The sequence below is a fragment of the Homo sapiens genome, chromosome X (assembly GCF_000001405.40).
Source record: "Homo sapiens chromosome X, GRCh38.p14 Primary Assembly".
NCBI classification, from domain to species: domain Eukaryota; kingdom Metazoa; phylum Chordata; class Mammalia; order Primates; family Hominidae; genus Homo; species Homo sapiens.
The window spans coordinates 99,208,707-99,234,545 of NC_000023.11; positions in this window are offsets into that span (position 1 = coordinate 99,208,707).

Consider the following 25,839-nt stretch of genomic DNA (forward strand, 5'->3'; position numbering starts at 1 on the left):
AGGTCACATGCACCCCATGTCCACTGGCTCTAAGCCCAGCACAGCACCAAGAATTACCTAGGAATTGAAGTTTTGTAGCTTAGAGTGCCTTTTAAGTTCATTTAGAACCCCAGAGCACTTTAGTTCATGGTAGCACTGTTTGCCAGAACTCAGGTTCCCACCATTAGGATGGGTGACTTGCCTCTGGCTAGGTCTGGTCTAAATGCTTCCTCTGTGGACACCAGCTGAGTTCTGCCTTAAATTGCTTTCCACTGTGACAGGGCAGCACTGAGTTACTGAGTTCCAATGCAAAGTTCCACAATTGCGGTACTCTCCCTCCCCCAAACACGCAAGTTCTCTCCACACCACACAGCCACTGTTGGGGGATGGAGGAGGGGTGGAATAGGCAATTCAAGACTGTCTTTCCTACCCTATTAAGCACCTCTTTACTTAATGTTAAAACAAGGTACTGTGATTGCTCACCTGATTTTTGGTTCCTATGAAGGTTCTTTTTTGTGCACAATTTTGTGTTCTTGCATGGGAGAAAATCACTGGAAGCTTCAACTCATCCATCTTTCTCTGCCACTCTTCCTTCATTTCTGAAGGACAGCTTTCCCAGATAATGCATTCTTGATTGGTTGGCAATCCCCCCCCACCTCAGCACTTTCAATATTTTCCCAATCTCTCCTGGATTGTCAATTTCCTGCTGAGAAGTTTGCTCCTAACCTTACTGAAATTCCTTCTATGTGCGATATACTTCTTTTCACTTGAGGTTTTCTGAATCCTTTCTTCATCTTTAATTTTTGACCATTTAATTATAAGACTTGGTTTAGTCTTGTTAGGATTAAATCTGACTTCAGACATTTGACTTTTCTGTACCTGGATATTTATATGTTTTCTCAGATTTAGAAAGATTTCAGCTGTTATTTTTTCCCTTTGTTTATCTCTTCTTCTTAACCCATATAATTTGAATATTTGTTCTCTTGATGCTGCCCCATACATTCTGTAAGCATTCTTTATTCCTTTCCAGTGTTTTTTCTTCTGTGTAAATTTTGAATAAATTGCACTGATACTCAGAATGCAGCATCCCTACTGTTACCATAATAGTAACAGATGCAAGGTGTGGATACTTATGAAGTAAACAGAAAGCTGAGAATGTGAGCCCAGATGTGCACAGATTTACAGTGGTTTCAGGGTCAGGGCATGATCTAGTTCTTTATGGAATATGATCTGGTTCCTGGAGCACAGGTACACTCAAAGAGATGCTGGCTCTGGGGCCAAAGTGTGAACAATTTTCTATGGCAATGGCTCTGGTGTCTGAGACATTGGCAGGCACAGTGCAGCCACAGAGCTGGGGTCCATAGTGTGAGCAATAACAAAGCAGCTGCAGCTTGAGAGTTAGATCTCACATGGGAATGGGACAAGTGGCAGCTCTGGTCCTGAAGCAGCACAATTTTGGCTGCTTCTTGAAGGGACTTAGGGGTATAGCTGCATCTCACACTCTGGTGTTCCTCAGAGAAAATGATTGTTCATTATCTCAGTGACCTAAGATGCTGGCATCTTCTGCAGAGCGGGTCACTGAGGACCATGGTGGTTCCTGCTATTAATGCCAATAATCATCAACTTCTTTTTTTGTCCCTAGCCATCTCCTGGCATCTCAGGTATGCTGATCTCACTAGTGATCCTTTTTATGTGGATAATCTGTTTCATTTGCTTCATTGTGTTGCTACAGATTTTTAAATAGGCTCTTGAGCTCTCCCAGGGCAAATTTGCTTGCGGATGTCTATCTATCTATCTCTCTAACTCTCTCTCTCTATCTCTCTATCTGTCTATCATCTTTTCTTATGGGGCAATAAAGGGTGATATCTCCCACTCCATCATTTTGGTGGTTTCTGAGGAATGCATTATATTCTTCACCTTCTTCAGCATTTTTATAAACATTATTTTGACTCTTTGTTTTTAATTAATGCATCTCCATTTTCTTTATGGTCCCTTACTTTAGATTTACTTTGTTCAATTGTTTGGGCTATGTTTCTTTGTTTCTGCTTCTGTCTCATATATTTTTTTAGAATCCATAGATTTGAAAAAAAAATAAAAATAAGTTTTTTAGAATACATTTGGAAAAAAAAAAAAAAAAAGACTGTCTCTCCTAGTCTTTATAAACTGACTTTGTACAGGGACAGATTCTCACCAGTCAGCCTGTGTAGACATTCTTGTTGCCTCCAAAACTTTTGCGGGGTGCTATTGTAATTCTTTGAGATTGTGTATGCAGTTTCTCAATTATTGAGGCTTTCTGTTTTCCTTTTCAGGAGCTCCTACAATTTTGTTTCCTCTTCTGGCTATATGCAGTACTGTTGTTCTTACTCTCCCCTCATTTTCCTCATGTAGATGTATCAAAATTTAAGGTTAAATCAATACTCAAAATATTCTTCTAATTGTGACTATGTGAATACTTTTACACTGAGCCAAATAGTATCCAATGATTACATTTCCTTTCTTATAAAATATCCCTTCCATATTCTCATTCTCAGTTAAAAATTAACTTTTTTTGTTTAGTTTTCTATGTAGTCATATCTAAATTTCTGAAGAACATTAACAATGGAAAACTCTTATTTATATAAAATTATTTTTCAGTGTAAAAGGAGAACGGGCTCCAGAAACCCATGTGGATACCAAAATCTATAGATGTTCAAGTCCCTTATATTGAATGCCATAGCATTAACAAATAACCTACATAAACCCTCTCATATACTTTAAATTTTCTCTAGATTACTTATAATACATAATATAATATAAACAATAGGTAAATAGTTGTTATATTATATTTTTATTTGTATTATTTTTTATTGCTATATTGCTATGTTCATTATTAGTTTCAACTATTTTGACCCATCATTGATTGAATGTGGATGTGAAACCCAGGGATATGGAAGGCTGACTGTCTCACCAAATTCTAGTTTAAGCGTGTTAGTTATATTAATTATGTCCTCTCAATAGCCTTTCAAGACAAACACACAGACACACAATATGTGTTATATAATAAGCAATTATTATTTAGTTTTTATTTTTATTTTATTTTATTTTATTTTATTTTATTTTATTTTATTTTATTTTTCAGATGGAGTCTCACTCTGTCGCCCAGGCTGGAGCGCAGTGGTGCAATCTCGACTCACTGCAAGCTCCATCTCCCGGTTCATGCCATTCTCCTGCCTCAGCCTCCCGAGTAGCTGGGACTACAGGCACCTGCCACCATGCCTGGCTAATTTTTTGTATTTTTTAGTAGATACAGTGTTTCACCGTGTTAGCCAAGATGGTCTCGATCTCCTGACCTCGTGAACCGCTGGCTTCGGCCTCCCAAAGTGCTGGGATTACAGGCGTGAGCCACCATGCCTGGCCTATTGTTTTTAACTTTAAAAAGTAATATGATGTTTTTATGTAATCTTTTTAAGCTTACTTGTGTTTTTGATATTATACTGCCAAGATTTATCCACATTGATGCATGCAGCTCTATTTCTCTCTTTGACTAATGTCTAATATTCCATTGTTTCAACAAACCACTACACTCCTCTTCATTGGCATTTATATTATTTCAGGAGTTATGCAATTATTAAGTAATCTTATGTTATGAATAGTATTGTACATGTCCTCTGGTGAATATATGTAAGTGTTTCTCTTCAGTCTAAAACAAGGAGTGAAAATACTCATATGGTATATGAGTATTCAATTTATAAGATAATAGCAAACATTTTTCCAAAGTGACCAAACTATTTAACAATCCTACCAGCAATATGTGTGACATACTTGATCCACATCTTCGGCAACGTTGATTATTAAGAGATATTCTTTTAGGTATATGTAAATATTATAGTCTTTTAATTTTTTATTATTTTTATATCTTGATGGCTTTTATAATGTCTTCTTTTAGTTCTAGAAAGTTACAGTTTTTTGGACATTTTTGTAGCGTGAGATTACTGACTTTTCTCTTTCTCCAATTTTCCTCTTTTCTCTTTTTTGGGTCTTAATATTCCATAATAAAACCTCTCTTCAAATATTTTATGAAACTTGGGTATTCGTTTATAGTTAAGAGTGATACACTAAAACCCAATCAAAAGCTTCATGTGCTTGGTCAAGATCTGTGTGTTTTGACAGGCTCCACCATAACACAATTGAGTACAAACCTGGCCATTTCACCAGAGACTTCCAATCATCAGTCTTTTTGGGGGTCCAGTTTCTTCAGATGGAATCTATATTTGCTTACCTGTTAAACTGTAAACCTGGTTTTCAGTGTTCTGGAAGCCAAAGAGGAAAAAGAGGACTTGGCATTTCACTAATCAGTACATTGGCTTTCATTAAATTGCCCTGTTTCAGAATAGCACCTCTAACCTCTCTTTTAATGTGTCTAGTCTGATGTTCCTGACTTCAGAGGCTCTGTGATTCTATTGCTGCAAGTGCGGGGAAGGAACCCTGAAAAGTAAGTTGCTCAATAGGCTACTTTTCAGCCACTCCTGTTTGACCTTCTGTTTCATCCCTGGCTTCTGAAGTAACTGATGCCTCCAGTTTTTTATGTTTTCTGGCATTCTGTATCCCAAATTAACTGTGTTTGTTTGGTATTTTCCTCTGCAAGCCTTTAGACCCCAGATTTCTCCAATCTCCTAAGTCATTACCATTCATCTGTCCACTGTATATCTTCTTCAATTATGCGGACACCTGTTACTGTAATATATTTGTATTACTGTTGTGGTTATATATGTATCCTCTTAAAAACTGGTATTTTTACCATTTTATTGGAGATTCTGGAGGCAGCAAATAATGAAGACCATCTTCAATGTTTAATCAGAAGATCCAGCTCAGTTAGTTCTTCAATTTATACTATATAAATCTTATTTTAGACCATGGCCAACACAGAATTCTGCATGTGATTCCTTGGTATCTGCTGCCAAGTGCACAATAGGTCAGATTATGAAGTAATTGATATGGTTAATTATGATGATAATCTAAATAAATGGTTTCACCTTGACATAATATATTTATCTCAAGATATCTGTATAAAAGCATTATTTTTTAGTACTAATCACAACTATTTTTACTACAGATACTCAAATCATTCCTTGTTGATTGAGCCTTCCTATGTAGGATTTTACTTTTATTTTCAGGTCAGATTTGACCAAAAAATAACTTTAAGGATGAGTATTAAGCATGCAGTCAGATTCTAATATTACCAAATAAAGTACATTGCAATCCTTTTTCAAGGCAATGTAAGGAAAGCAACAATTATAGGTAATTTTGGATATCTGACTCTCCAAACCTCATGTTATTGAAGGAGGGGGCTTAATGAGAGGTGTTTAGATCATGGGGGTGGTTCCCTCATGAATGTCTTGGTGCTGTTTTCATGGTAATGAGTTTCTCTATTAGTGCTTGCAAATGTTCTCTCAAGAGCTGGTTGTCAAAATAAGCTTAGCACCTTCCTTCTTTCTCTTGCCTTCTCCCTTTCCATGTGATCTCTACACATGCTAGCTCCACTTCGCCTTCTCTCATGAACAGAAGTAGCTGCAGGCCCTCACCAGAAACCAAGCAGTTGCTGGAACTATGTTTCTTGTACATCGTGAAGAAATGTGAGCCAAATAAACTTTTTTTATATAAATTATCTGACCTCAGGTATTCCTTTATAGTAACACTAAAAAAACTAAGACAATAGGCATTATTGACATTATAAAAATATATTGTACTTTCATTACAAGAATAATACATGCTTACTCTAATAAATAAAAAAACGAGGTGTATAACTAAAATATTTTTCCCATCTCACCTCTTTTCAGATAAGCAATGTGAATAGTTCTCAGCATTTTTTTGTGCTCACACAAAGATCTACAGTTTTGTGCACATGTAATATTTTTATGTTTGTTTTTACAAAAATGAGACCATATTATATGCATTATTTTACATAACCATGTGATATTGACATCTATGTCAATACATGTACAGCTTTATTTCTAATAACTGAAATATATGGACGCATTCTATTATATCTAACCACACAATCTATATTTCTTCATTGCTCATGTTTTGCCCTTAAAGCATAGAAACAGTGGCTTCTGCAAAGAGTCCTGTGCTTTAGAGGGCCTCACTTTAGCACTACTTCAGTTGCTTCACTCCCACAGAGTGAAGAATTGTAGGACCAAGGGGAAGTTCCCACTAAAATCCTGCAACTTCCTTTGAGATGACACTTTGTTCTTCAGGATCCCAGAATTTCCTTGGCAACTTTCCTAAGCTCTCTTCCAGGCCTCTCCAAATCTCTACCCCAAGATCTGTTTTCCCATCACATACACCACTATACCAAAGGATATTCAAGGGGCATCTGCTTGCAAAGGTTGTGATTGGACTGTAAGTGAACACATGTAATTGTCTACATGTGCGCACCAGGATTCTTTAGAGTGGAACAAAGTCGTATGTGGGAAGAAAATGGGAGTGTACCACAGGTCAGGGCACTGGGCAATAGTACTGGCTGCATTTCCATCTTCTGGTGTAGAATTCTGAGAAGTCAAAAATTTTAAATTTGTACCTGATGTTTCAGGTCATTTTAAAAGTATCCTTTTTAATGAAACTTAATAAAACATTTATTTAAATTTTTGTTAGTCATTTAAACAATACATGTGTTATTTAGGTATCCATTTTGTACTGTCTTGAGCTCCACAAATATTGGAGATATGCTTGCAAAATAAAGATATAGACTTGTGTTTTTCATATAACACTACTGTATTTTACACTATTTGTGGGAAAGGGATTTGTTTCGTACCACTTTTTATTTATTATGGAGGCTACCATAAAATCTTGAACATAGTTGATACTTAATACATGTCAGCTGAATGAATTTGTGAAGGAATTATCTTCTTTAGTACTTATTAGTTCAAACTTGTGGACATTCGGTATATGTTGTTGAGTTTAAAAATGAGTCTGTTTTTTACTATGGGAGGTTCTTTTTTTTTTTGCTTAAGTGTGTATACCTTAAGCAAAAAATAATATACCCAACTTCTCATTTGGATAATCAGGAAAACTAATTTTTAATTATGGGATACATTCCTTTCTTATAATTCATTTTAAAACTATATTTAATTGTAAATGCTAAATCAATCTTTTGCAAGAAGTACTTACACCTAAGGACGTACTTCCCTTGAGGTCATGCTTTCAAACTTGACTAAGAGCAATAAATCAAAGTATCTTCACAGATATACAGTGTGTTTCCATTCTATTGGATCAACTTGCCATCTCCAGCTTGTGATTTTACTAAAAATCGCCTATTTTTACAACCTTGACAGTTATAGACATGAATAAAAATACCACACTGCCCATTCTAGGCTATTTTGCATAACCCAACTGATTGGCAATGAAATAAAGAAAACCCAACAAATAATTTAAAATATGATTGGATCTTTGTTTTTATATTTATTTAAGTGTAAACTAAACTTTAAAAAGTTTAAAATAATTTATTTTTAAATACTTCATTTTAATTTTCATGAGAATATTGACCCTAGCAATGGAAAAAGTATATATCAAGTTGCCATATTTTACAATTGTGTTTTTAACTAATGCCTGTGACAGCATCCATTGGTTTTTCAGTCCACCTCTTCTAATAAAATCAAAAAAGGAAACAAGAGTCAAAGCCACATAAAAGAATACAAACATAAATACAAGAAATTTTTCTATTACATGATAAAAGAAAGGTTCAGGTAGTATCTGTCGCCTCTTGCTATTTATCACCTCCCTCTATAAGTCCTGTTCACCTCTTATCATGTTTTCTCTACTATGCAATTTCTTTCCAAGAGAAGAGAAAGCTACTCCTTAAGAGCTTGGAAGTGTTTATTGCTATTATTGTGAGAGTAAGAAAGTGATTAAGCCCCCACTACTTGTATACAAAGGTTGTGCTACATCTCATAGACCATTATGTCAAAAATTTCAAGAAGACCCCTATTGACTTCTTTACTACCTTTTACGTCTAACTTACCGTACTCATTGTCATTTGGCAAAATATCCCATATGGAAATGTAAACAGTAGATTAATTTGATGTTGGAATTATCTGACAAATTTTTCAAGCAGCCATCATATAAATACTTAAACAAACAATTAAAAACCCATAGGAAAAAATAGAAAATACTAGCACAGAAATAAAAGTTGTAAGACAGAACAAAAAGAAAATTATACAACTTGAAATATAATAACCAAACCAAAACAAAACAGAAACCTCAAAGTATGGTCACAATGGTAGAGCGGAGGTAGTAGAAGATAGAACTGATGAGCTTGAATAGAGATTAATTGAATTTATCCAATTTGAACAATAGAAAGAAAATAAACTGAAGAAATGATTAACAGAGTCTTCAGGATCTGTAGGTCAATAACAAAAAGAGCTAATATTCTTAGCATTGAAGTACCTAAAGCAAAGAAAAGAGAAAACATATCTAAAAAAAAATTTGAAAGAATAATAACAGAAAAGGTCCTAAATTTGGCAAAATATATAAATCTACAGATTCAAGAAGCTACGTGAACCTAAATAGGATAAAGTTAAAGAAATTTATGACAAGATACATCATATTTGAACTTCCGAAATCTAAAGACAAAGAACAAAATTAAAAGTAACCAGAGAGAAATAACACATCACTTACAGGGAAACACTAATTCAAATGGCAATGTATTTTTCATTAGAAACCATGAAGACATGAAGGAAGTGGCACACTGGTTTACAAGAACTGAAAGAAAAGAACTGTCAACTATAAACTCTATATCAAGCAAAAATTATCCTTAAGGAAGAAAGAGTTTGAAATAAAGACATTCTCAGATAAAGACAAACTAAGAGAATTTGTTGCCGGCAAACCTATCCTTAAAGAATGATAAAAGAAAGTATCTAAACTGAAAAGGTATGATAACAGGAAAAGTCCAGGAATTTCAGAAACAAAAAGAATATTGGACTAGGTGAAAATATGAGTAAATATAGTAAATATAATAAACTATTCTCCACACAATTTTTAAAAATCATAGTTAATAATTAAAACAGAAATTATAATGCCTTCTGATATGGTACTGAATCTAATTAGAGAAAATATTGAAGACAATTTAATTTTTAGAATGTGTAGGGCCAAGGTTAGATTTTAAAATGTGTAGGGCCAAGGTATGTGCATTTTTTGTTGTTATTAAAATGTTAGTACTGGCAGATTGTGGTGCATTATGTGTGTATAAACTAAAGCACTATAAATAAATCAAAGTGAAATCAGAAGAAAATGTTTATACAATCCCCAAGAAGGCAAGAAAACAAAAGCAGAGGGAAAAAAATAAGGGAAACACAAAAATCAAACTATAAAATGGCAGTTTTGAGCCCTAATATATCAATAATCACATTATGTCTAAATGGTTTAAATGCACCAGTTAAGAGAAAGAAATTAGTGGAGTGGAAAAATAAAAACAACTCTTCATAAAAAATTCACTTTAAACACTACGATATAAATAAGGTTAAAGTAAATTGATTAAGAAATATATATCATGATGCAAACATTAATTTAAAATGGTAGTGGGTATATGTATTCGTTTTTGCTGCTACAACAGAATACCTGGCTGGAGTAATTTATAAGAAATAGAAATTTGTTGGTTCACAATTCTAAAGTCTGGGAAGCTCAATATTAAGGTGCTGGCATATAGTGAGGGTCTTCTTAATGCATCACTACATGACAGAAGAACAGGACAAAGAGAGGGTGAGAGAGCAAGAGGGGGCTGAATTCAGTCTTTTGTAATAGCATTACTCCTAACAATGATGGAAGACCCCTCATGGCCTACTCACCTCTTAGAGGTCTCACCTCTTAATACTTTTACAATGGCAATCAAATTTTACCATGAGTTTTGGAGATGACATACAATCAAACCTTAGCATTTTAACCCTGTCTCCACAATACTCATGTAATTCTCACATACAAAATGCATTAACTCCATCTCAATATCCCTGAAAATCTTAACTCATTCCAGCATCAACTCAAAAGTCCAGAGTACATAGTCTCATCTAAATCACATGTGCGTGAAACTCAAGACACAGTTCATCCTGAGGGAAATTCCCCTCACCTTTAGCTGTGAGCCTGTGAAATCAAAATAAGTTACATGCTTCCAAAATACAACGGTGGGTCAGGCATATAGGATAGGCATTCCCATTGTTAAAGGAAGCAACAGGAAAAAAGAAAGGGAAAACAAGTCCCAAGTAAGTTTAAAAAAAATACAAAATAAAACAGGGTTAATTACATTAAGTCTTAAGGCTCCAGAATTATCTCATTTGACTCCATGTCCCTCCTTTGTGCACACTGGTGCATAGGTGCAGCATACAAGGCCTCAGGCAGTCCTGCCCCGTGGCTTTGCTAGGCTCAGCATACACAGCAGCTCTCACATATTAGTCTCTTGCCTACAGCTTTCCAAGCTTGGCATTGTATGCTGGTGGCTCTACAGTTCTAGAGTCCTGGGGGCTCTTCTTTCACAGCTCCACTAGGCATTGCCCTACTGGGAACTCTGTGGTAGCACTACCTCAGAGAGAGGACTGGTTGAAACCCAGGCTGTTCACAACATTGTTTGAAGTTTAGATGGAGGAAGCCATGCCTCCACAGCTCTTGCACTCTGCACACCAACAGAATGAGTACCATAAGGACATCACCAAAGCTCATGACTTGCACCCTCCAGCGCTCTGAGTCAAGTCACACCTGGACTCACTTGAGCCATGGCTGGGGTGGCTGAGGAGCTCTTTGCAGAATGTAGGGGGAGGAGACCCTGGGTATCCTGGGCAGTGGGCCCTGATGTCCCATAGGCATCGCAAACCCATCAACTAAAACCATTTTGCTTTAGCATATCAGGCTTGTGAAGGGAGGAACAGCCTCAAAGATGTCTGAAATACTTTTGGGATCATTCTCCCACTGTCTTGATAAATAGCACCTGGCTTCTTTTTATCTATACTAATCTCCTTATCAAATAGCTGGTTGGTCATAGCCTTGGATTTCTCTCTCATTTTTTAAATAGCCAGGCTGAGTGTTTTGCAAATCTTTACAATCCGCCTCCCACTTAATTACAAATTTTGCCTTTAAATAACTTATCTCCTCTTGCATTTTACTATAATCAGCTAAGAAAGCCATGCAGTAGTCTGAATGCTTTTTTGTTTATAGGTTTCTTCTGCCTAATATTCTAGTTTATTACTTTTAAGTCCTGCCTCCCACAAAATCCTGGGTACATACAAAATTCAGCCAAGCTCTTTGCCACTTTATAACATGGGTATACCTTCCTCCAGTTTTCAATACCTTATTTCTCATATTTGCCTGATACCTCAGCAGAATGGCCTTCATTGTCCATATTCCTACCAGCATTCTTTTCCCAATCACTTAAGTAATCTATAAGATTCAGACTTTTCCTATAGCTATTCTCTTTTTCTGAGACTTCACCCAAACACCTTTAATACCTAGTTCATGTGAATATAGGCTACTAACAAAATCATTTACTTCAAAATGTTACAGGTAGCTAGACAGGCATGAGCGGGGCAGGAAAGGGTTCCCCCCACAACCCCCAGGAATGTCAGGTGATGGAGTGATAGTTCAACAATTATCATGCTGCCTCTGTAAAATGATAATTTGGCAGCTGGCACCAGGGAGAGACAACCTCCTAATGTTCCACGGCTGCCACCGTAAAGCGTTAATTTAACGTAGGCAGCAGGGAGAAGCAACTTCCTGGCATGGGCATTAAGAGACAAAATGGGAGTGTATGACCTTCTGGGGGCACTCCACCAGAAAAGGAAAGAAACAAACAAATTAGCAAAAAAATAATAACAATAATCCTATCAAAAAGTGGGCAAATGATATGAATAGACAATTCTCCAAAGAAAATATACAAAGTCAACAAACATATGAAAAATGTTCAATATAACTAATTATCAAGGAAATACAAATAAAAACCATAACGAGATACCACCTTACTCCTACAAGAATGGCCATAATTAAAAAATCAAAAAATAACAGATGTTGGCATGGATGTGGTGAAGAGAAAGGAACACTTTTACATTGCTGATGGGAATGTAAACTAGTACAACCACTATGGAAAATGGTATAGAGATTCCTTAAAGAACTAAAAGTAAAACTACTGTTTGATCCAGCAATCCCACTACTGGGTGTCTACCCAGAGAAAATGAAGCCATTATATGGAAAAGACACGTGTGCATGCATGTTCACAGCAGCACAATTTGCAATTCCAAAAATATGAAACCAGCCTAAATGCCCACCAACCAATGAGTGGATAAAGAAAACGTATATACACACACACACACACACATACATATATGTATACACACACACACACCATGGATACTACTCAGCCATAAAAAGGAATGAAATAATGGCATTTGCGGCAACCTGGATGGAGTTGGAGGCCATTATTCTAAGAGAAGTAACTCGGGAATGGAAAACCAAACATCGTATGTTCTCACTTATAAGCAGAAGCTAAGCTATGAGCATGCAAAGGGATAATAATGATATAATAGACTTTGGGGACTTGGGGAAAAGGGTGGGAGGAAGGTGAGGGACAAAACACTACACATTGGCTACAGCATACGCTGCTCAGATGATGAGTGCATCAAAATCTCAGACATCACCACTGAAGAACTTTTCCATGCAACCAAATACCACCTGTTCTTTCAAAACAATTGAAATAAAAATAAATAAATAAACAATAAAAAGAAAACAGACTTGGAGTATACAGATGTCAACCGTTTAGAGAAAAAAGGTAGGCTTGTTCACCATCCAGTAGCGTATAGGTAATATCTCCCTTCCCAACAAAATTCAAGACGGCTTGCTTAAAAGCCATCATAAAATAAATATTCTGGTTTGGCCTGGAGCGGTGGCTCACGTCTGCAATCCCAGCACTTTGGGAGGCCAAGGTGGTTGAATCACAAGGTCAGGAGACTGAGACCATCCTGGATAACATGGTGAAACCCCGTCTCTACTAAAATACAAAAATTTGCTGGGCATGGTGGCGCGTGCCTGTAATCCCAGCTACTCGGGAGGCTGAGGCAGGAGAATCGCTGGAACCCAGGAGGCGGAGGTTGCAGTGATCCAAGATCGCGCCGCTGCACTCAAGCCTGGTGACAGCAAGACTCCGTCTCAAAAATATAAAAAGTAAATTTTATATTTATGTATATGTGTATATATATATATATATATATATATATATATAAAGTTCTTTAAACTCCAGGTTTCTCAGCTGTGATACAAGCTTACAATGTGTGCAGCATCCAAGTAGGTATCTCTGCATCACCTCCATGGCTGAGGGAAACCTATCTGAATATTAAGTTTATAATATTTGCTATGCCATAAATAATACTTTTTTTTCTCTCTGACCCAGGAGTCTCATGTCTTCTGCCAGCATCCGTGAAACTGTGGAAGGCTAGCTCATTAACTTTAGAGTAAAATTTCAGACTCTTGACAGTTCATGACAGTAGTTTTATCTCATTCTTTTTCATGGCTGCATACTTTTACATATACAAGTTATTTAATCAACCTCTTGTTCTTAGAAAATTAGGATGTTTAGAATATTTTGCTACTGCAAAAATTCTCCAATAAGTATCCATATCCATACATCTTTGTGCATATATGAGAGTGTTTTTGTAGGACAGAGATTTTTTTTGTAATAGAAATGCTTCTTATTAGATACACTCATTTATGTGCCAAAAAAGGTGTAATCATTTACACGTCTGTCAATGTTATGAGAATAACCCTTGCCTATAGTTGAAAAATATTATCTTGTTTTAATAATAATCTCTAGATTACTAGTGACACTGATTACCTTGTCGTACTTATTGACCGTATTTCTTCTGCAAATGTTTTTTTTTTTTCTTGTATATGATGCATTTTCTTTCAGGTAATTTATTTCTATTGAATTATAAAAACTATATATATATGAACTCTATATATATATGAGCTATATATAATATATATATATGAACTCTGTTTCTCTTTGTTGTATATTATGAAAATATACTTGCCAGTTATATCACTTGCCATTGCGGTATGCTAACAGGGTTTAAGTCAGATAGAAATTTAAAAATTTTATAGTCAAATTAGTCAACCTTTTTTATAGCTTATAGATTTTCTGTCTTACTTATGAATGACTTTGATATTCTAAGATTTTTCTCCTGTATGCCATTCAAATTTATTCTATTAATGCTAAATTATTTTTTGTTTGTTTTATGAAACCCATCATTTATTGCAGCAACACACAACCACGTATCATCTGTGAAAACTTCCATGTGAGGATTTAATTTTGTGATTATTATACATCGAAATTATTTCTTTTTTCAACTTTTAAGTTCAGGGGTACAAGTGCAGGTTTGTTACATAGGTAAACTTGTGTCATGGGAGTTTGTTGTACAGATTATTTTACCACCTAACCTCCTGCCCATTAGTTTTTTTTTTTTATCCTCTCTCTCCTTCCACTCTCCATCCGCCAATAGGCCCCAATGTGTGCTGTTAAGGCAGTTCTGAGAGGGAAACTCAGTTCTAAATTCTCACATTAGAAAATAGGAAAAGTTCCCAATGAATAATCAAAGTTTCTACATCAAGAAACAAGAAAAAGCAGAGTAAAATAAATTCAAAGCAAGAAAAAGAATAAAATAATAAAGATAAGAGAAGTAACCAATAAAATTAATATAGAAAAATAATTTTTACAATCAAGAACATAAGTAACTGGTTCTTCAAAAATGTAATAAATTTGATAAACATCTAACAAGCCTGGCAAAGACAAAAAAGGCACAAATTATCAATATCAATAGTGCAGTTACGCAAGATAAATAAGTCTAGAGAGCTAATGTAAAGCATGAAAACCATAGTTAATAATACTATATACTTAAAATTTGCTAAAAGAACACATTTTCGGAGTTCTTATCACATATCCACACAAAGGTAACTATGTGAGTTGATAGATATGTTAATTTAACTGACAGTTGTAATCACTGCATTACTTATATGTATATCAGAACATTATATTTTGGATGCAGCTGAAAACCATTATCCTGAGTGAATTAATGCAGAAAGAGAAAACCAAATACTACATGTTTTCACTTATAAGTGGGGGCTAAACATTGGGTACATGTGGTCATAAAAATGGAAGTAATTGACACAGGGGAATACAAGAATGGGAGGGAGGGAGGCAATAAGGACTGAAAAATACTACCTATTGGGTATTATGCTCACTATCAAGGTTACAGATTTATTTGTACTTCAAACTTCAGCATCATAAAATATACCTATGTAATAAACCTGCACACGTACCTCTGATTCTAAAATAAAAGTTGAAAAAAAAACAAAAAGCTCATTATATGAAAGAAAAATTATCTTGTAAAACACAAATAGATATAATAACAAAAAATTAGATAGAGAATATCATTAAAATCTTGTGTCATTAAGATAAAAATAAAGGGATACTTATACGTATTCATAATTTTAAACAAGTAATATAGCAATTTAGAAAGAACCAATTGCTTAAAACACACAAAGCACCAAATATCAAGCAAAAAAGAAAAATAGACAATCTGAATAGCTCTATAACCACTATAAAAATTAGATTCATAATTTATAACCACCCCTAAAGAAAGTCCCTGAACACAGATGATTTCAGTGAAAACTTCTACAAAAATTTAGAAAATTTAACATCAACTTTATATAATTAATTCAAGAAAATAAAAGAGGAAATAGCACTCCCTAATACATTTTATGAGACCGTGATTAGATTGTTACTAAAACTAGACAAAGAGAGTAACTAAAAAGATAATCTACAGGCCAACATTTCTGCTGAACATAAATGAAAAAGTCCTTAACACAATATTTGGAAATTTAATCCACCAATGTACAAAAAGAATCATGCAGCCTCATCAAGTCAGATTTATTACAGATATGCAAGTCCTGTTTGATATTCAAAATTCAATCAATCCTTTATATCAAAAGGTTAAAGAAGAAAGACTATATATTCTGTCAATTAAGATATGTATTTCCCCAAAAAGGAAATGCAGATGGCAAATAAGCACATGCAAAAATGCATTTGGCAAACCTAACACCTACTTCTGATAGTATCTCAGCAAACTGTGAGTGGAGTGGAGCTCCCTCAATTTGCTAAAGATTATCTGTAAAAGAAAAACACCCTACATCTAACACAATTAATAGTAAAAAACAGGATTTTTTTCTTAAGATTAGGAGCAATGTGAGGATGTCTTTCTTACCATTCTTATTTGGTAGAATAGTGGAAGTTTACCCACTGCAATATGATATGAAAAAAAAGTAAACATACACATTGAAAAGGATCAAACAAAACTATCCTGTTTGCAGATAACATAATTTTCTACATAAAAAAATGAACACACAAAAACCTCCTATAATTAATAAGTGAATATAGCTAGATTACAGGATACATGATCAACACACACATTTTTATTATTTATTTTAATTTTAAAAAACTAATGTTTAAGCTTTTATTTTACATTCAGGGGTACATGTACAGGTTTGCTATATAGGTAAATTGTGTGTCATGGGGGTTTGATGTACAGATTATTCCATCACCCAGGTAGAACACATAGTACCTGATAGGTAGTTTTTCAGTCTTCACCCTCCTTTCTCCCTCCACCCTCAAGGAGGCCCACTGTCTGTTGTTCTCTTACTTGTGACTATATGTACTCAATGTTTAGCTCCTACTTGTAAGTGAGAATATATGGTATTTGGTTTCCTGTTTCTGCATTGGTTCCCTTAGGATAATGACCTCTAACTCCATTCATGTTGCTGCAAAGGACATGATCTCATTCATCTTTATCGCTGTGTAGTATTCCATGGTGTGTATGTATCACATTTTCTTTAGCCAGTCTACTGTTGAGGTGCATTTATGTTGATTCTGATAGGGACAAGAGACAGAGAAATTCCTGGCAGAAGAGGGCAGGTCCCCAGTGAAAGCCTCACTCTCAAACCAAAAAGCCTGGAACCATGGCCCAAAGTGAGAACTGACATCCCTGTTTTCCCGCTCAAATGTTGCCTTTTCCAAAACCACCAATAGCCTGCCCTGCCCCCATCCTGTGTCCATAAAAAACCCAGGTTCAGCCGACAGAGAGTAGAAGCAGCTGGATATCAGAGACTATGGTCAGAGAGAAGCCACTTGACTTCAGAGGAACAGCTTGATGGCATAGCTTCAGAGAGGTGTCCGGCCAGGGACAGCCAGACTCTGGGAAAATATTACATTCACACTCCATCCCCTTTTCAGCTCCCCTTCCTGCTGAAAGCCACTTTCATCAGTAATAAAATCCTCTGCATTCACCACCCTTCAATTCATTTGTGTGACATGATTTTTCCGGGATGCCAAACAAGAGCTTGGGTACCATGGGTGTGGATGCAAGAGGCTGTCATAATGACCCTCTGCCCTCACTGGCAGAAAGCAGCTGCCACATGTAAAAAGGCAGAAGGCCCACTGAGCTGTTAACACTTAAGCCGTCTGTGGACAGTAGAGCTAAAAGATCCCTGTAACACACGCCTTCTGGGACTTCAGGGGTTGTGGGCACTCCCCGAGATGCTGCTGCGGGCCTGGTATGGAGTTCATTCCTGCTGGCACCCAAAAGCACTAGCCCCAGGTCCTGCACCCATTCACCTGCATGCTCCTTCCTGCTACAGATTGAGAACAGAGGGTTTAAGTAAATGGAGTTTGCCCTTGCTGGTGCCAAAGTGGCTGGGTAGCTCCAGTGCCCACACTCAAGTTCCCCCCTGCACAGGAGTCAGGGGAAATTTCCTGCTTCAATTCCATTTGTCTTTGCTATTGAACATACACATTTTTAAAAACTTGCATTTCTATATATCAATGAACTTCTGGAAACTAAAATTTTAAAATACAATACCATTTATAATCACTACAAACAAAGAAAATTGTTAGGTATAAAACTAGCAAAACCTGTATAGGATCTGTGTGCTGAAAATTATAAAATGATAATGAAGAAAATCAAAAAAAGGTTAAGTAAATGAAGACATTCTACTTTTGTATATAGGATGATTCAACATAGTAAAGATCCCTACTGTCCACAAATTGATCTATAGATTTAAGATAAGTTCTTTCAAAATTCCAGCAAGTTTTTTTGTACCTAGCAACCAGCTTATTTACAATTTATAAGGAAAACACGGGATGTGGAATTACTAAAAAAGCACATATTAAAATTTACTAAATAGATAGTGTAATCAAGACAGTATGATATTTGTGTAGAGATAGAGACATAGATCAAAAGAACAATATTGGGAACCTAGAAATTGACCTACATAAATAAGGTCAATGAATTTTTTACAAAAAAGCAAAAGTAATTTAATGAAGGAAAGATAGCCTTTTGAATGAAAAGTGCTGAAGCAATTGGAAATCCATAGGCAAAAAGCAAACTTTAACCTAAATCTCAGATCTAATATAAAAATTTACTTAAGTGAATAATAGACAAATGTAAAATAGAAGACTATAAAACTTTCAGAAACAAGACATTGTAAACATTCTTTGGAACTAGAGCTATGAGAAAAGTTCTTAGATTTGACACCAAAAGCATGATCCATAGGAGGAAAAAATGGTAAATTCAAGCTAATCGAAATGAAAAACTTGCTCTGTAAAGAACTTGTGAGGAGGTTCAAAATATAAACTAGAAACTGGGAGAAAATATTTGCACACTACGTAGCGAACCAAAGAGTAGTATATAGAATATAGAAAAGACTCTCCAAACTCAAGAATAAGAAAGAAATCCAGTTAGAAAGTGGGCATAAGACACAATTTCACTAAAGAGGATATACAGACGTCAAATAAGCACATAGGAAGATGTTCAACACTGTTACCTGTATTATTAATGGTTAGGGTTCTTTAGAGAAACAGGGCAAATTAGGGATGTGTGTGTGTGTGTGTGTGTGTGTGTGTGTGTAGAGAGAGAGAGAGGGACACAGAGAGAAAAGGGAGAAGAAGGGACAAGGAAGTGAGAGAGAGGGAGTTTTAAGCCTCATGATTATGGAGTTTGGCAAGTCCAAAGTCCAAAATTGGCAGAGTGGGCACTCAGGCTGGAAACCCAGGGAAAAGACAATGCTGCAGTTTTATTTTAAAAGCCATCTGCTGGAATAATTCCTTCTTGTTTGGAGGAGGTCAGTCTTTGTTCTATTAAGGCCTTCAACTGATTGGATGAGACCTTCCCACATTATGGAAGTAAATCTGTACTATTAAAAGTCCACTGATTTAAATGTTAATTTTATCGAAAAGAAAAAAATAAAACACTCTCACAGAAACATCCAGAATAGTGTTTGACTATATATCTTGGAACAGTGGCCCAGTCATTCTAACACATAAAATTAACCATGACATTGAAATGTAAATTAATACTACAATGTCATATCAGTGCATACATATCAGAATGGCTTAAAAAAACACACACAAAATGTTGGCCAGGATTTACAGAAATTAGATCACTTTTACATTGCTGATGGCAAGATAAAATGTTACTGCTACCCTAGAACACAATTCAGCATTTCCTAATAATATTAAATATATAGTTACCAAATTCCCCAGCAATTGCACTCCTGGGTATTAATCCCAGATAAATGAGAACTTTGTTCGCGCAAAAATTCGTACTCAAATGTCAGAGCAATTTCATCCATAATAAACCAAAAAAATGGAAACAACCAGATATCCTTCAACAAGTGTGTTATTAAACAAATTTAAGTATATACATACCATGGAGTACTATTCAGCAACAACAAAAAAATGAACTATTGATGAATGCATAAGCTTTGGTGAATACCCGGAATTATTCTGAGTGAAAAAATGCCAAATCCAAAAACATTGTATACTCTATCATTTCAGTTGTATAATGTTTTTGAAAAGACAATGTTTTAGAAATGAGAAACAGATTAGTGGTTTCCAGGGATTAGAAATGAGAGTGGGCTGATGCAGGAAGGAGGTGCATGTGGTTATAGATGGGTAGTATGAGAAACCCCTATGGTGATGGAACTCTCTGGAACTTGACTGTGGTGGCAAACCAGTTTACCCATGTAATAAAATTTATATTGAACTAAACACCTTCCTCTCTCCCACACAAGCACACACACAAATAAAAATGAAACTAAGAAAATCTGTATAATATTGGTAGATTGTATAAATGTCAATATCCTGGATATGCCATAATTTTTAAGACTTTACTATTGAGTGAAATGGTAAAAAGTACATAGAATCCCTCTGTGTTAATTCTTATCACATGTGAATATATGATAACTTTAAAATAAAAATTTTAATCAAAAATAAGCAAGGTCTTAGAAATACCATACACAGCCAGGTGTATTGCACGGCATTTGGATTAAATCTCAATAAAGCTGTTTTTTAAAGCATAGAGATCTAGAAAAAATAAAGCACTCAAAAATCTATTTCAACTATCCAATATAGAAATGAAAAAGCTAAAGAAAGGGGAAATTGTGTTAGTGAGCATTGAATCCTACCAAAAAACAGTTGTGTCTTAGATCATATTAAGAGTTATGACAAGACAAATCAAATGCCAAAAAATAGTTCTGATTTTAAACAGAAAGAATATAGACTTCAGAAAGCATGACTATAGTCAATAATATTTAATTGTACATTTTAAAATAACTAGAAGAGTATTATTGGATTGTGTGTAACACAAAGGATTAAATACTTGAGGAGATGAATACCCCATTTTACATGATGTGATTATAATACATTGCATGCCTGTATCAAAACACCTCATGTACCCCATAAATATATATACCTACTAATATATCCACAAAAAATAAAATAAATTTTAAAAGAATATGAAGAATAATTTAATGCAAATATTATTATACAAATTTCCAGTGATACCAACGAGGAAACAAAGAAATTGTAAGAGACCAAGTGAACAAAATGGTTCCATGCTAATGTCTCGTTTTCATATACATAAGTTAAACAGCCTGTAATTCCAGATAACTAGAAAGTATGTGTTCATATTTCAAATAAAAGGATGTGTATTGCCCAAATCACAAATAAGACATGTAAAAGCAATAAAGAAACCACTGTTCTTATATCAAAAAATAGAAAACAGAGGTAAAAATAAAAATGTGTAAAACAAAATTACACAACTAAAGCTCTCCAGCATAGAAATTGTAAAAATAAATGCAAGTGGGTCGAACTGGCCTACTGGAAGACAGAGTCTCAAATTTAATAAAACACAATATTCAATTATAGATCTTTATAAGATATGCAGCTACAAAAATATGCCTTAGGAAACAAAAATGTATATGGCCCAAGTTGTATTAGGAAAATGCAAATAAAATAACCAACAGGTCATAATACTTTTTAAACATAATAGTATTTAAGCCAAAATACAATAAACAGTTGAAAGAAGCACATGTAATCATAATGAACAATGGCCTTGAAATTTCATGCACCAATGTGCAATTTGGCATTGACGTATATAATCTTACGGAAAACAAACAAACACAAAGGCTGAAAACACTTCCATTGATTATAAACAGGAGAAAATTTTAAAGGACACACCATGTAACCATAATGTAAAAAATTAAGAAATTAGCATCAATCACAAGTAAATAACCAAACATTTCCAAACACTTTCCAAGATAGCTTGAGCTGTGTATGGGGGTCTGTGTGTATGTGTGTGCAAAGAATGTATAAACCCTAAGCTTTTACTGTAGAATATATATAAGGATGGGCTTACACAAAGTTTTAGTTTTCTTCCTCGTGAATCTGAAATGTAAAATTTTAATATCAGCTTGTATTAACTTTATTTTTTGTTAATTTTTGCATTATTAATTCATCCTATTTTTAATATAGCCTCTTAAATTATAGATGTCATTTTTAGTGTATTATATTTTAATTTTTTAATTAGTTTTTTTGATAGGGATAGCACGTAATATAACGTATTGCTATGGTCTGCATGTTTATGTCTTCCTCAAAATTATGGGTTGAAATTTTCACCCACAAGGTGATGGTATTAAGAGGATCATTTGGAGGTGATCAGATCATGGTGGCAGAACCTTCATGATAGGAAATAGTGTCTTTCTAAAAGTAGCCCGAGAAAAAACTCTCCTGCTTTCTACCATGTGAAGTTAGATTAAGCAGAAGGCTGTTTATGAGGAAGCAGGCCCTTATTAGTCACTGATTCTGCTAACACCTTGAACTTCTCAGCTTACAGAACTGTAAGAAATATATTTCTGTTATTTATAAGCCACCCAGTATATGGTATTTTATTATAGCAGCTCAAACAGACTAAGATACATGCCAAGCAATTCAGAGTTGTAAGAAAAATGTAGTAATTTGCTCCTATTCTCCCATAATAATAATAATAATCTGGTCCTACCTTTCCAAGGCAACCTATGTAAACATTTGACAGCTATTCTTGTATATTTTCTGTATGATCATTTAATTATATATGAAAATTCGTAGGTGTCTATAGTTTTTAATAATAAAAGAGAATCGTATGCATTGTATGCATAGTTCTGCAACTAAGTTTTCTTACTCCATATACAATAGACATATTTCCATGTAAACAAATATTATCCTAGTTATTTTAATACTAACAAACTCCATAAAGGACATGATTTATGACAACATTCCTAATGATTTCCCTATGGAGACACACAGATTATTTTCAGGTTTTTCCAATACAATAAGTATAATTGAACATATGCCCATGGTACAGGTACTTTTATTTTTATTATAAAATATATTTATTAGATTTTGACTACTGCATAACAAATTACCACGAACTTAGAAGCTTAAAACAACATTTGTTTGTTAATTCACAACTCTACAAGTAAGAAGTCCAGCATGCTGTTGCTTGGTTATCTGCACAAGACCCTTCAAAACTAAAGTCCATGTTGGGTTCTTTTCTGGAGGCTAGAATATGGAAGTATCTGCTTCAATGTTAGTTTATGTTGTTTGGAGAATCCAGTTTCTTGCAGATTTAAAACTGAGATTCCTATTTTCTTACTGGAGAAGAGGGCATCCCTTTTCTCCTAGAGGTCATTCATATTCCTCATCATGTGGCTCCCACTATCTTCAAATTGAGAATGTCGATTCCCTATTATGCTTTAAAACGCTGAGTTCCTCTGTCTCTGCCCAGATTTAAAAGGCTCATTCTATTTGGGCTGGTCCGCCCAGAATACTTCCCTTCTGACTGACTAAAGGTCATTTCAATGGTAATTTTAATCACATTTGGAAAATGCTTTTTGCCATATGTGTAACACAATCTTGGAAGTGATATCTCATCATATCCATAGGTTCTAGAAACAAACAATAGGAGGAGACTATACAGAGTAAAGCTCATGGGTGACAAGTTTAGAATTCTATCTACTACATAAAGATTCCCAAACATGCAATTGCTGAGTCTGTTTTAAACATTTATCATTTGGGCTCTATTTTCAATACTTTCTCATTTTCTCAGAATCAGAATATACTGGAGATGAGATGTGGAGTACTTTTTTTTTTTTACTAAATTCTATGCCGCTTTTGCGGAATGATAATTTATAGCAAGAAAATTCCAAGTGATGCCTATATTTCTATTATAAATGTTTAAAGAACATCAAAGACTCAGATATCAGAGTACATTCAAATCTAAGCTCCACCACTTACTAGCTTTGAGATCATAGTAGAAATGTTATTAAATCTCTCCAACAAAATAAATTGTCATAACGTTGTTTAAAGATGAAATGTGATGATGTGTTAAAGACCTTAAAACAGTTCATGGTATTTAGTAACTGCTCAATATACGTGAGTTCTTTCATTCTTCCTCTCGTTGTCCTTGTACAGTCAAGGGAAGGAAATTAAATTCAGCAAATGGTACTCACACTTCAGGAACCATGAATCCTTGGCAATTGATACAAGCACAGAAGAAATTGTTGCATTTAAAAAATATTCTCAGCAGTGGTCCCCTGATCTGTCACTACTTTAGGCTGTGTTAAGTTTATTGCTTATCAGTAATGTAGGAACTATATTGTTTCCTATTTTCAAACCTAGTTTGAAAGTCTTTCCATATTTTCTGTGTATTCCCAATACTTTTTCAATAAATTCTCATCTTTTAAAATTAGACAAGTTTTGCGTGGCTTGCAATGCTTCGTAGGTATATTTTAAAATTTGATAATTAACAATGTCTCTATGACATTGAGTTCTCTTACTCCTGAATATCGTACCTATTACATACTGAAAGAATTATGGTTACCAAATAGAAAGTATACTTCATAAATTAAAGCTAATATAACAAAAAACAGGAGATGGGGAAGAAATGTGAAGCATGCTACTTATCTTACTTTTATCACATGGCTTTACAAAATAGACTCAGCAATTCATAAGCACCAGTAATGCATGAAACTTCTTATTTTTCTCAATGCTCCTCAGCATCAGGTATTGCAATCTTTAAACTTAAATTAACCAAACACAACTTGTTCCCCAGAAGCCTACTGAAATAAAAAACAAACAAATATATTTTAACCATCTAAATAAAAATAATACCTCATAATTAGAATTTCCCCTACAACCAGAGTCACTGATAATTTTTCACATGGATTATACGCATTTTCCCATTTTCTTTCTATTTTCTATTGTTTTCATCATCTTTCTCTCACCAGTCTGTAGGATTTCTTTAAAAATATCAACACTCTTTCAGTCATACGTATTGCTAATACTTTTCTTTAACCCATTTTTTTTAACATTTTTTGTGGTGCCATATGTGACATCATTTTTATTGACAATAAACATTACAAAAAATTCAAAGAATAACAAGTAATTTGACAAATATATAAACAAGTTACCATATATACCATCATCCAGAAACAATAGTAATATGTGGTGAATATTATTCAATACTTACATCTCTCCACACAAATTCAGAATGGCAAAAAGATAGATACATGTATAGAGTTTAATGAAAATGAGCTTCTATCATACCTGATGTTTTTGAACAAAAACATTAAGATACATTCACTTGATTAAAAACAGAAACAATAAATAAAATGAAAACAATTTTTAAAATACAACTGTTTCTGCAGTGCATAAATTATTCATTATTAAAATATAAAAGTTTAAAGAAACCGTTAAGATAGGGATGCCATTTAAAGACTTATACTATAATTTTACCAATGGATTACTTTCTAATATGAAAAATAAGATAATTGGGATGCTTCACATTCCTTTCCCATCTAACAATTTTTGTTATATTAGCTGTAATTTATGAAATATATTTTCTGTTTTGTAACCAGAATTATTCCAGTACATAATAGGTACTATTTTCAGGAGTAAGAAAACTCAATGTCATAAGGAAATTATTTCTCCCAAATTAATACATGGTTCAAATGCAATTTCAGTCAAAATTCTAATGAGATTGATTTTTTATCTTGACAAACTGTAAAAGCTATGTGGCAGCTTAATACGGAAAAAAGTAAGGTGTGATTTCCTACTAGACATCAAGTTATAATAATTAAAGACAGTATAGCAATGAAGTATCACTTAAACACAGTAAAGAACTCAAGCAGGATTTGTGTTACAATTGATATATGCAACAGGTATAAACCACACTGGAAAATAAAGAGCTGTTGTATAAATGAGACTGGGGAAATTAACTTTCCATATAGAAAAAATATAACTTAGAAGATTTTCCCACACCATGCATCCCAACAAGTGCCAATAAATAAAAGACATAAGTCAAAGGTAGAATTTTTTGGAGACAAGGAGTTAAAAGTATTAGAAAATATATAAATGAGTATTCTTTGTTTTGAGATATAATTCTCCTCAGTTGCATACTATAAAAGTCACCCTTTCAAAGTGTACAC